The sequence below is a fragment of the Homo sapiens genome, chromosome 7 (assembly GCF_000001405.40).
Source record: "Homo sapiens chromosome 7, GRCh38.p14 Primary Assembly".
Classification (NCBI taxonomy): domain Eukaryota; kingdom Metazoa; phylum Chordata; class Mammalia; order Primates; family Hominidae; genus Homo; species Homo sapiens.
The window spans coordinates 52,102,951-52,116,655 of record NC_000007.14 but is presented as its reverse complement, the minus strand read 5'-3'; the positions used below and the strand labels follow the sequence as shown (position 1 = coordinate 52,116,655).

General features: G+C 38.8%; 1 annotated feature.

Moving 5' to 3' along the window:
• Window positions 1,420–2,286: an enhancer, noted in NCBI's record as "OCT4-NANOG hESC enhancer chr7:52182066-52182932 (GRCh37/hg19 assembly coordinates)". NCBI's record gives its function as "activates a minimal SCP1, AML or CMV promoter by ChIP-STARR-seq in naive H9 embryonic stem cells {active_cell/tissue: H9 hESC(naive)}" and the evidence as "EXISTENCE:reporter gene assay evidence [ECO:0000049][PMID:30033119]".

Sequence of the window (13,705 nt, the reverse complement as noted above, 5' to 3'; positions counted from 1 at the left end):
ATTGGGGCTTAGTCCAAAACCATGGTCTTCTATAATGTTTGTTCAACACACGCTTCTCACTAATTTCTTTGTTTTACCATTAAGCAATACGATTCTTATCATTTATTTCTTTGTTTTTGAAACTTTTTTTATGAAAATGTTAATTATATTAACTTAAAATGGCTTATCAACATTTCTAAAGGAATAGATTAATAAGAACTTTTAAAATATCTTAGTACTAACTTGGTAAATGTTGATATATGCAACTCACATCAACAAAAACTCTTTTGGTTCCAAAATAATTTTAAGATAGTCCTGAGATAAAGAAGCTTGAGAATCACTAAACTGAAGAAGAAATCTATGCTGCCAGGTTACCAGTGAAGGCAGACATGTGGATCACTGTGGTATTAACTAACACCAGAACCACTGAGGAGAAGGAGGCTTGTAGAAAAAGAGGTGGGAGGAAGCTGGTGCTTCATAGGCCTGAGCTCAGGAAGGTACTGAGCTAGTGAAACGGCTTTGGAACGTATCAACACAGAGAAAAGGATTAAAACTCAGGTAACCCAGGAACAGTGCTAAGAGCAAAAATTGTAGTGTGAACCTCAAAAATCTGAGACAGGTCTCAGTTAATTTAGACAGTTTATTTCGCCAAGGTTGAGGATGCACGCCCATGACACAGCCTCAGGAAGTCCTGATGACATGTGCTCAAGGTGGTCAGCACAGTTTGGTTTTATACATTCTAGGGAGACGAGACATCAATCAACATACGTAAGATGAACATTGGTTTGGTCTGGAAAGGCGGGACCTCTCGAAGCAAAGGCGGGAAGACTAGAATTGGGGAGGGGGATACCAGGTCATAGGTAGCTAAGAGACAAATGGTTGCATTCTTTTGAGTTTCTTATTAGCCTGTCCAAAGGAGGGAATCAGATATACATTTATCTCAGAGAGCAGGGGGGTAACTTTGAATAGAATGGGAGGCAGTTTGCCCTAAGCAGTTTCCAGCTTGGCTTTTCCCTTTAGCTTAGTGATTTTGGGGCTCCAAGATTTATTTTCCATTCACAGTAGGGTACTGAAAATGAAACCGTCCCAATATCAAATGTTTTGAGCATGAGAGCAAAGGGGGACTTGAGAGGATGTGGTGAGAGATTCCATAGTAGGGAATTTTTTTATTAGTAATTATCTTTCATTACCCAGTGTCACTTTACTCAAAACAAAATAGTATTTAGACCTAATATTACCTGTAATGATTATATACATGGATATAGCAACAATCTCACCGTTATGTGTTAAACATTGCGAGTAAGTGTGTACATCTGTGTGTGTGTGTGCAAATTACCTGCAGCAAATGCTTCCTATTTTTCTTACTTTGCTTTTTAGTCTGTTTTCATCAATTTTTTGTGCAAGTTTCAGAACACACGACTTCAAGGGTGGCATGTGAAATGGATTAATATTTCAATTTTAAAACAAATTATTCTCTGTATTGTTTAACTTCCGAATCCTGAAGAATGGAAATGTCATTTTGGAAGTGTCAGCAGGCAGCTCACAATTGCAGCACTTAACTTGCAATTGGTTATTCCAGACAATGGAAACAACAACGCCAACCTCCACCAGCACAACAGAAACAATGCCAGTAAGTGGGAGCACAAATAATTTGAAGGTTTGGTTTTCAGTTTTTTACTGTAAAACACTGCAGTCCACTGGATGGGATCTTGACTGTTTTGTGTCCCTTGATGATATGAGGAGCATACTGTGAGGCACTGGCTAATGTTGTAATCTAATGCAGTGGTTGATGTTTATAATTTAATGCAACTTTGCTTAAGGACAGCTTTTTCAGCCTTTAATAAAAGATAATTTTCATATAAAGAGTTAAGAATTCTTTCACTTTATTCTCAGAGGTCCCTTCACCTCTTACTTCCTACCCCACAATATCCACGCTGTCATATGCAGACAGCCTTTCACTCCTGTGTTGTTTGTCCTCTTTATGCTGATTGATATGTTAATTTAAGTGACAATTATAAAGCAGTATTTACACGCTGTACATAACAATAGAGGAATAGAAATGTGAATGCGACACACTTGTTTGCCTTGTTTCAATTAAGAAAGGTGAAAAATTAAATATGAAAACTAGAAATTGACAAAAATAAGAGTATTTCTTGTTTACAGGACTTTTGTTCATCAATTTCACCTTATGGTTTGTGTTCATCATTCAAGAGACCCCTTTTTGGGTTTGTTACCTTTTTTGTTTGTTTGAGAGGAGATTTTCTGATGGCATAATATGTACTTTTTCCCTGCAGATATTTTATAAAATGTTAGGAAGTGGTGTTTCATGATGATAAAGCTCTTCAATTGGAGGAAGTCTTTGTCACAAAAGGAATATCCAAGAAACATGCTGCACTCTAACACTTTAATAGGCAAAATGCATGAGTGGTAATGCCTCAGTGGAGTTATCTAGAGTTTGAAGTAACAGTTCTGTTTCCCTTCTGAGTTAATACACGACTCTGGGAAGAGTGAGGAAATAAAAGGAAGTCGTGGAGAGAGAAAGTTCAGTGACTTGATCTGCTCCCAGAAACACTGCAAAAAGCATATGCCTCATATTCTAAGATGAATGAATAAAGAAATTGCTGGAGAGCCAAAAATACTATACATTTGGAATGAATTGCAGTCATGCACAGCATAATAACGTTTCTGTCAATGACAGACCAGGTATATGACAGTGGTCCCATAAGATTATAATACTGTATTTTTACTGTACCTTTCTATATTTAGGTATGTTAGAGACACAAATATTTGCCATTGTTTTACAGTTGCCTACAGTATCCAGCACAGTAACCTGCTGTGAAGATTTGCAGGCTAGGAGGAATACGCTGTACCATCTAGCCTAGGTATGTGGTAGGCTGTACCATGTAGGTTTGTGTAAGTGCACTCTATGATGTTCACACTGTAGCAGGACAAGCCACAGAAAACCCCTCAGACACCGAGTTAAAGAAGGAAGGGCTTTATTCGTCCGGGAGCATCGTCAAGACTCACGTCTCAAAAACCGAGCTCCCCGAGTGAGCACTTCCTGTCCCATTTAAGGGCTCACAACTCTAAGGGGTTCTGCGTAAGAGGGTTGTGATCAATTGAGCAAGCAGGGGGCACGTGACTGGGGGCTGCATGCACTGGTAATTAGAATGGAACAGAACAGGACAGGGATTTTCACAGTGCTTTTCTGTACAATGTCTGGAATCTATAGCTAACATAACTGATTAGGTCAGGGATCGATCTTTAACTACCAGGCCCAGGGTGTGGCACCGGGCTGTCTGCCTGTGGATTTCATTTCTGCCTTTTAGTTTTTACTTCTTCCTTTGGAGGCAGAAGTTGGGCATAAGGCAATATGAGGAGTGGTCTCCTCCCTTAACACAAATACAAAACAACCTGACGCCGCTGCTCAAAACACGTCCCCTTTGTTAAGCAGCATGTGATTTTAATTCACTTCTACTTATCATGTACTTTTAAGCTAGTTCACGATAAATGTAGCTACTCAATCATGGCCTTCATATTTTGTGAGCACATTAAAATATAGATTACAATACTTTTTTAAAAAAGATCAGAAGAAAGTGAATAACTAGTGTTCTCACTTCTACAGTGTGGAAAGACTTTGTAAGATTTTGGAACCTCTGTGGAATTCCAGTTTAAATTTAGTACCATGCTTCTTAGTATATCAATATGGAGAATCTCATCTTCATGAATAAATGTAATTCAAGGAAAAAAATAGCACAATACTCAGTGGAAATTTAGAGAGAAAAGAGAAAAACTACTTCTGTCTGGGAGTGCCTGCACAAGATTGAACACCTAGTATATGTCAGTCACTGGATAGATGCTGGGAGGTAGCATTTAAATTACTCTACATAATTAGAATTTGGACATTTCATATTATTTTATTCAAAATTTGATTGAGAACATATTCCAATATTCTTACATTTGTTTAAGAACATGATATTAATGACAACATAATGTTAACTAAATTGATATATTTAAAAGTTACTTTTCACGTTTGGAACATTGTTTTGTTTTTGTTTTTTGAGACAGAGTCTCTCCCTGTCACCCAGGCTGGAGTGCAGTGGTGTGATCTTAACTCACTGCAACCTCTGCCTCCTGGGTTCAAGCGATTCTCCTGCCTCAGCCTCCTGAGTAGCTGAGACTACAGGCATACACCACCACACCCGGCTAATTTTTAGTAGAGATGGGATTTCACTTTGTTGGCCAGGCTGGTCTCGACCTCCTGACCTCAGGTTATCTACTCACCTCGGCTTCCTGAAGTGCTGGGATTACAGGCATGAGCCACCGTGCCTGGCCTGGAACATTAAGCCTAATAAAAATGCTGTGTCATGTCCTAAAACAAAAATCGAAAAAAATTATTCATCTCTTATTATGTTCTTAGCAAAAATAACTTACTAGTAAAAAATGAGAATACATTAAAGTTCTTAAAATAGGTGAATAGATTGCTTTCCAGAAGGGATAGACCAAATTAATCTTATATTTGTTTTATGGCACAGTACATAGTCAACTTCAGTAACCATGCCAGATGTACTTAGAAATCATATCCAGAAGTTTTGGATATAGTGTTCTATTTAGGCTTATTAGGGCAATTATTTATTTTGCCCAACTTTTCTACATGGTTGTTGATTGTTTTATCTGGTTGTTCTATCAGTTACTGTTCCATTAGTTATCAGGTATTAAACCCTTGTAATAATTATATTACACATTTTCCTTTTTATTCTGTTAATTTTTGTTTTATTTAATTTGAGACCACATTATTACGTACCTAAAGATTTAGAATTGTAATATAGTGCTGGTTCTATTAGGCCTGTTGGTGTGTTTCCTGTTCACTTGGCAAGTTAGAGTCAAACGCTGGGTATTTACCAGGACTTCTTTTCCTGGATAAGCTCTGTTCAATAAAATTTAGCCTAAAGCTGTCTCCTTATATATTTTATGTTTAGCCTAAAAGTTTCTCTGTACATAGTAAACTATAACCTAAATGGAGGTATAAACAGACTGTAACCTACTCTCGTGCCAATTACTGAGTTTGGCCAATCAAAGGGTGCCAACTGTTCAAACCATGTTTGAATAGGGCAAACGTCAAGCTGTAACCAATCTGGCTATCGCTGTACCTCACTTCCATTTTTTCTGTACATCATTTTCCTATTTCTGTCCACAAATCTTCTTCCACTACATGGCTGTGCTGGAGTCTCTCTGAGCCTACGCTGGAGGCTTGCCCGCTTCACCAATCATTCTTTGCTCAATTAAACTCTGTAAAATTTAATTTGGCTAAGGTTTTTCTTTTAACAGCAATAAACTTCAGTCTTTGTTTTCCCTGTTAAGTGAATCTCTCTAAAATTCTAAGTTTCTGAGCCTCTCAGACAGCACATTCAGAGAAGACAGCTGTTTCAAAGAGACAAGAGACTACCAATAGTAGGCATAACTATGGTCTTCCCATCTCCCCCAGATCCTGAGCCTTTCATTCCTCACTGTCTTAGAAACTCCAAACGCATTTTCTTGTAAGCCATTTTATCCAAATTTGCTAGTTGTTTTCAACAGGAGGGGTCTTAGAAAATAATTGATTTTTCCATTGACAGAAGCAGAACTCTAGTTTGAATCAACTTAAAGCTCTATGTCGAGTAATGCTGCTAATTCAATGTCTAATTTATTATTAGGCTGAGTTCCAACATTTCACTTTTTATCATTCGTTTATACTTCTCCACGAAATAAAGTAATAAATACTGATTAGGATTATGAGCCAATGCGTAAAGAAGATTTAACCCATAATACTCCTGAGCTATAAAACCAATAATGCTCCCATTAATCATTTAAATTCACCTCTTTTTCCTACCCACGTAGAATTATGTCATAAGTTTTTATGATAGGGAGAAATCTTAATAATTATGGAAATATTCATAGATTTATATTTTCTTCCTATTCACTGGCTGTTCTTCAGGATGGCATGTTGGAGGAGGCCTCCCTTATCTGTGTAAGCTTATAGGGAATGTCTCATATCTACTTGTATTGGGTGCAGATTGAATCTCATCCTGCTGCATGAACACTAAGATTTTATTGCTCCTGTCTCTCTAGACAAAGTGATGTGTTTTCATTTATCACTGGAGTCTGAGGTTCCTGGCATCTACCCCAGTGCCAAAGCTTCTGGACCCTGCTTCCAGAAATCAGCAAGTTTATCTAAGCTTTCAGTATCTCTGTACCCTTTCAGAAAGGTTCTCAGAGAACCTAGTACTCTTGGATGCACTGTGGAGAAATCTAACAATGCTTTCAATCCAGGTTCCTGCATCTAGCTTAGCTCTCGGTCTTCTCTTTGCCAAGGCTGTTCTAGACAGTAGCATTGCAATAATGCAAGACTTTCAGGGATTCCATGTGTGAACTGGACACAACTGCCTGCCTTCATCTTTCCCTTCAGCCTAATTAACATGTTACCCAAACTGAAGACTTGAGCCCAAGGAAGAGGGTCTAGAATACTTTCTTTGACCACACAATTTCTTTTATGTCCTTGCTATCAGAAGTGTGGTCAGGAGACCAGCAATTTCCAAACCACGGGCACATTAATAAGGAACGTAGAATCTTGACACATAACCTAGAGCTACTAATCAGGAAGTAAATTCTAAAAAGGCCAAGAGTATAGACATTTTAGAATTGAGAAATATTGCTGCAAGTCATATCCTGAATTATCTCCAAACTTGGTTATTGTCATTACTAAGGCCAATTTTTCAAATCTTTCATCTTAAAAGAACCTCTCTGAATTTATTGTCTTATCGCAGATTGAAAAACATCTATTCAGAGTATCAGAACTTGAGGAACAATGCCTCTCTTTGCATTTCTGCTATGAGACCTGCATCCATCAGGGTTTGACCAGAAAAGGAGAATCAGAGGAGATACATATTAAGGGATTTATTACAAGAAACTGGCTAAGCAGCTTCAAAATCTTTAGAGCAGGCTGTCAGTAAGAATAGGCTAAAGCTGCTGTCCACAGACAGAATTCATTCTCTCAGAAAAGCATCAACCCTGCTTTTAAGGCTTCTCAAGTTAGTGAATCAGGCTCACCATATTATCTAGTCTCCCCTGCTGTAAGTCAACTGATTATGGACTATAACTTCAATCACATCTATAAAATGTCTTCATGACAACACCTGCATTAGTGATTGATTAAATAACTGGTGACTGTAGCCTGGTCACACTGAAACATCAAAAGACCATCACAGGATCTCTGTTTTCTGGGGCAAAGGGATGCCTCTGCAGATATTGGGGTGGGAGTAGAAGTCAGGCCAAAAAATGCAAAAGTTACAGTAGGTTAACACTGTAAAAACATAATGCCAGAAAGAATTAAGCTACTTTTAAACAAGTGAATAAGGGTAGAGAGAGAGAGGTTAACAATGAGCAAGGACAGGATCTATTAACTTAAATATTAAGGATCCTAATATTCCCTGCAATGTTCTCTAGTGCTTAGCAACAGCTGTCAGGTTCAGACTGTAAAGGGATGACTTAAGTTCTGCTGTTGCGGCTATTTGAGGCTATTTCTTTTAGGAAAGAGAACTGATTTCCTGGGTCTTCCATATTACTGGGATCACATGCTGCTTCATCCCACACAGGCCAGTTAATGTGTCTTAATCAAGTACATATTTAGAGAGGTAAAGGAGTGTGTGTGTGTGTGTGTGTGTGTGTGTGTGTGTGTGTGTGAGAGAGAGAGAAAGAGAGAAACAAAGAGAGAGAGAGAAGTGAGGGGGACTTATTTTCATGGAGTTGGAATTTGTATATATGGGTTTTTAGCTCTTCTAGTACCTAGTACGTGTTTGTGCTATCTTATCTTTGAGTTTTCATGATTTTTAGTTTATTGCTTTCATACTTTCATCCCTCTTTCATATCCAAAATTTTCTTCTGAGCACACTCACATATATCCAAGTTTATAGGCATAAATTTCCCTATGATATTCCAAAAGTTTAAGGTTAAATATTAATATTTAATGATACACTTCTTACATTGTTTGGTAATCAATAGCAAAACTTGTAAAACAGAAGACAACAGCACAAATCCCACTGAGAATTTGTAGCATAAATGCAGGGAAAAAAACCAAGCTACATATATATAAAGGCTGTGATGGGAGAAAAAATTTCCATATACAAAGTACACAATGAAATATGCAAATTATATGGTACAGATACATAAAAATTAAAGCAATACATGTAAAAAAAATTAAATATACAACACAGGGAACATTTCTGAGGATTGGGCATTAGAAGTTTGGGGACGTGTTGGGAAGTTTACTTGAACTTGAAGAGAAGTACTAAAACTTATTGAGTTGTTTCCATGTACATAAGCTCATGTTATGCTCTTATAGCACACTGTAACTTGGCATCGATTGACAGGAATTCAGCTTCAGAGAAATTAACAGATTTAACTGAAAATGAGGGCAGACTGGAAATTTCAACCCAGGTCTGCCTGCACCTGCCTCTCAGACATTCCCATCCTCTTCCACCTCTCCTTTCTCCCAAGGAGCTTTAGAAGAGAGTAATAGGCTGGGTACGGTGGCTCACGCCTGTAATCCCAACACTTTGGGGGGCCAAGATGGGTGGATCACTAGGTAAGGAGTATGAGACCAGCCTGGCCAACACGGTGAAACCCCGTCTTTACTAAAAATACAAAAATTAGCTGGGCATGGTGGCGTGTGCCTGTAATCCCAGCTACTCGGGAGGCTGAGGCAGGAGAATCGCTTGAACCTGGGAGGCAGAGGTTGCAGTGAGCTGAGATTGTGCCACTGCACTCCAGCCTGGGTAGCAGAGTGAGACTACCTCAAAAAAAAAAAAAAAAAAAAAAAAAAAAAGAATGATATAGAGTGTCAGTCTCAAAACGACTAGCATGAAACAACACATCCTTTTAATTCCTTGAGCATTCTTTAAAATGTATGTGAATTTTACACTCTCCATTATACATTTATGTTTTATAATAAAAATATGAGATTTTCTTTTTTATTTATTTTTATTTTTAAATTTTATTTGGCCTGTGGGATTGGGAAGGTTGAGCAGGGCAGGAGCGAGTCCCATTCGAGGCCAGGTGAGGGTGCAAGTGGGAAGGGCCACATGGGAGCCCAGCCCTGAAGATTCCAGCTGAGCTGGTAACTTCAAGGAGTAAGTGACAAGGAACTGCCTCGGCAAAATGTGAGATTTTCAATGAGCGTGTAAAGGTGGAAGGCTCGGCCTGAGAGTGGAATGCCACCTCAGAGGCATCATTTTCCTGCAGTTTGATTGGTGCAGGGGTCCACTCTGTATTGCCTTCTCAAGCAAGAGGCAGAAATAAATAATGCCGTAAAGGAAAACAACATAATTGAAGAACTGTACTTACAGGATTGGAAGATATGTCTTTGAAATGGCTAGGAATTCAGTTATTCTTCAGCCATGCGTCTCATACCAGGATTAATTTAATCATGTATTCGATATCTTATTCCCTTTAGGCTGCTACAGCAAAATGCCGTAGACAGGGTGGCTTATAAATAACAGAAATCTATTCCAGTTCCGGAGGTTTGAAGTCCAAGATCGAGGCATGGACAGATTCAGGGTCTGGTGAGGGCCTGTTTCTTGGTCTGTAATGGCACCTCTGGCTGTGTCCGCACATGGTGATGAGGTAGGCGGGGGACCCGACTCCAGAAGTGGGGACTCAGACACTGGACCAGACTGAGGACTAACTAAAACAGGGCTGAGGCGGAAGCAGCTTTCCATAAGTCACGCCCATCGGTGTGCCATGTCAGTTTACCTACCATTGCCATGGCAACACCCAGGAATTACCGCCCCTTTCCATGACAACAACTTGATGACCCAAAAGTTATTACCCTTTCCCTAGAAATTTCCGCATAAACTAATCCTTAATCTACATCCAATTAAAAGTTGGTATAAATACGACTACAAATCAGCCCTGAGCTGCTACTCTGCCTACAGCGGAGCGCTGCTCTGCAGAAGCAGTCACAGAGCTGTAATACTGCTGCTTCAATAAAGCTGTTTTCTTTTATTAATATTATTATTATACTTTAAGTTCTAGGGTACATGTGCACAATGTGCAGGTTAGTTACATATGTATACATGTGCCATATTGGTATGCTGCACCCATTAACTCGTCACTTAACATTAGGTATATCTCCTAATGCTTTCCCTCCCCCCTCCCCCCATCCCACCACAGCCCCTGGTGTATGATGTTCCCCTTCCTGTGTCCAAGTGTTCTCATTGTTCAATTCCCACCTACGAGTGAGAACATGCAGTGTTTGGTTTCTCGTTGTGATAGTTTGCTGAGAATGATGGTTTCCAGCTTCATCCATGTCCCTACAAAGGACATGAACTCATCATTTTTTATGGCTGCATAGTATTCCATGGTGTATATGTGCCACATTTTCTTAATCCAGTCTATCATTGATGGACATTTGGGTTGGTTCCAAGTCTTTGCTATTGTAAATAGTGCCACAATAAACATATGTGTGCATGTGTCTTTAAAGCAGCATGATTTATAATCCTTTGGGTATATACCACAGTAATGGGATGGCTGGGTCAAATGGTACTTGTAGTTCTAGATCCTTAAGGAATCACAACACTGTCTTCCACAATGGTTGAACTAGTTTACAGTCCCACCAACAGTGTAAAAGTGTTCCTATTTCTCCACATCCTCTCCAGCACCTGTTGTTTCCTGACTTTTTAATGATCGCCATTCTAACTGGTGTGAGATGGTATCTCATTGTGGTTTTGATTTGCATTTCTCTGATGGCCAGTGATGATGAGCATTTTTTCATGTGTCTGTTGGCTGCATAAATGTCTTCTTTTGAGAAGTGTCTGTACATATCCTTTGCCCACTTTTTGATGGGGTTGTTTGTTTTTTTCTTGTAAATTTGTTTGAGTTCTTTGTAGATTCTGGATATTAGCCGTCGGATGAGTGGATTGCAAAAATTTTCTCCCATTTTGTAGGTTGCCTGTTCACTCTGATGGTAGTTTCTTTTGCTGTGCAGAAGCTCTTGAGTTTAATTAGATCTCATTTGTCAATTTTGGCTTTTGTTGCCATTGCTTTTGGTGTTTTAGACATGAAGTCTTTGCCCATGCCTATGTCCTGAATGGTATTGCCTAGGTTTTCTTCTAGGGTTTTTATGGTTTCAGGTCTAACATTTAAGTCTTTAATCCATCTTGAATTAATTTTTGTATAAGGTGTAAGGAGGGGATCCAGTTTCAGCTTTCTACATATGGCTAGCCAGTTTTCCCAGCACCATTTATTAAATAGGGAATCCTTTCCCCATTGCTTGTTTTTGTCAGGTTTGTTAAAGATCAGATGTTTGTAGATGTGTGGTATTATTTCTGAGGCCTCTGTTCTGTTCCATTGGTCTATATCTCTGTTTTGATACCAATACCATGCTGTTTTGGTTACTATAGCCTTGTAGTACAATTTGAAGTCAGGTAGTGTGATGCCTCCAGTTTTGTTCTTTTGGCTTAGGATTGTCTTGGCAATGCAGCCCCTTTTTTGGTTCCATACGAACTTTAAAGTAGTTTTTCCCAATTCTTTGAAGAAAGTCATTGGTAGCTTGATGGGGATGGCATTGAATCTATAAGTTACCTAGGGCAGTATGGCCATTTTCACAATATTGATTCTTCCTATCCATGAGCATGGAATGTTCTTCCGTTTGTTTGTGTCCTCTTTTATTTTTTTGAACAGTGGTTTGTAGTTCTCCTTGAAGAGGTCCTTCACATCCCTTGTAAGTTGGATTCCTAGGTATTTTATTCTCTTTGAAGCAATTGAGAATGGAAGTTCACTCATGAGTTGGCTCTCTGTTTGTCTGTTATTGGTGTATAAGAATGCTTGTGATTTTTGCATATGGATTTTTGTATCCAGAGACTCTGCTGAAGTTGCTTATCAGCTTAAGGAGATTTTGGACTGAGATGATAGGGTTTTCTAAATATACAATCATGTCATCTGCAAACAGGGACAATTTGACTTCCTCTTTTCCTAATTGAATACCCTTTATTTCTTTCTCCTGCCTCATTGCCCTGACCAGAACTTCCAACACTATGTTAAATAGGAGTGGTGAGAGAGGACATCCCTGTCTTGTGCCAGTTTTCAAAGGGAATGCTTCTAGTTCTTGCCCATTCCATATGATATTGGCTGTGGGTTTGTCATAAATAGCTCTTATTATTTTGAGATATGTCCCATCAATACCTAATTTATTGAGAGTTTTTAGCATGAAGAGCTGTTGAATTTTGTCGAAGGCCTTTTCTGCATCTATTGAGATAATCTGTGGTTTTTGTCGTTGGTTCTGTTTGTATGCTGGATTACGTTTACTGATTTGCGTATGTTTAACCTGCCTTGCATCCCAGGGATGAAGTCCACTTGATCATGGTGGATAAGCTTTTTGATGTGCTGCTGGATTCAGTTTGCCAGTATTTTATTGAGGATTTTTGCATCGATGTTCATCAGGGATATTGATCTAAAATTATCTTTTTTTGTGTGTCTTTGCCAGGCTTTAGCATCAGGATGATGCTGGCCTCATAAAATGAGTTAGGGAGGATTCCCTCTTTTTCTATTGATTGGAATAGTTTCAGAAGGAATGGTACCAGCTCCTCCTTTTACTTCTGGTAGAATTCGGCTGTGAATCCATCTCGTCCTGGACTTTTTTCACTGGTAGGCTATTGATTATTGCCTCAATTTCAGAGCCTGTTATTGGTCTATTCAGGGATTCAACTTCTTCCTGGTTTAGTCTTGGGAGGGTGTATGTGTCCAGGAATTTATCCATTTCTTCTAGATTTTCTAGTTTATTTGGGTAGAGGTGTTTCTAGTATTCTCTGATGATAGTTTGTATTTCTGTGGGATCAGTGGTGATATCCCCTTTATCATTTTTATTGCATCTATTTGATTCTTCTCTCTTATCTTCTTTATTAGTCTTGCTAGCTGTCTATCAATTTTGTTGATCTTTTCAAAAAACCAGTTCCTGGATTCATTGATTTTTTGATGGGTTTTTGTGTCTCTATCTCCTTCAGTTCTTCTCTGATCTTAGTTATTTCTTGCCTTCTGCTAGCTTTTGAATGTGTTTGCTCTTGCTTCTCTAGTTCTTTTAATTGTGATGTTAGGGTGTCAATTTTAGATCTTTCCTGCTTTCTCTTGTGGGCATTTAGTGCTATAAATTTCCCTCTACACACTGCTTTGAATGTGTCCCAGAGATTCTGGTATGTTGTGTCTTTGTTCTCATTGGTTTCAAAGAACATCCTTATTTCTGCCTTCATTTCATTATGTACCCAGTAGTCATTCAGGAGCAGCTTGATCAGTTTCCATGTAGTTGTGCGGTTTGGGGTGAGTTTCTTAATCCTGAGTTCTAGTTTGATTGCACTGTGGTCTGAGAGACAGTTTGTTATCATTTCTGTTCTTTTACATTTGATGAGGAGTGCTTTACTTCCAACTATGTTGTCAGTTTTGGAATAAGTGCGATGTGGTGCTGAAAAGAATGTATATCCTATTGATTTGGGGTGGAGAGTTCTGTAGATGTCTATTAGTTCTGCTTGGTGCAGAGCTGAGTTCAATTCCTGGATATCCTTGTTAACTTTCTATCTCGTTGATCTGTCTAATGTTGACCATGGGGTGTTAAAGTCTCCCATTATTATTGTGTGGAAGTCTAAGTCTCTTTGTAGATCTCTAAGGACTTGCTTTATGAATCTGGGTGCTCCTGTATTGGGTG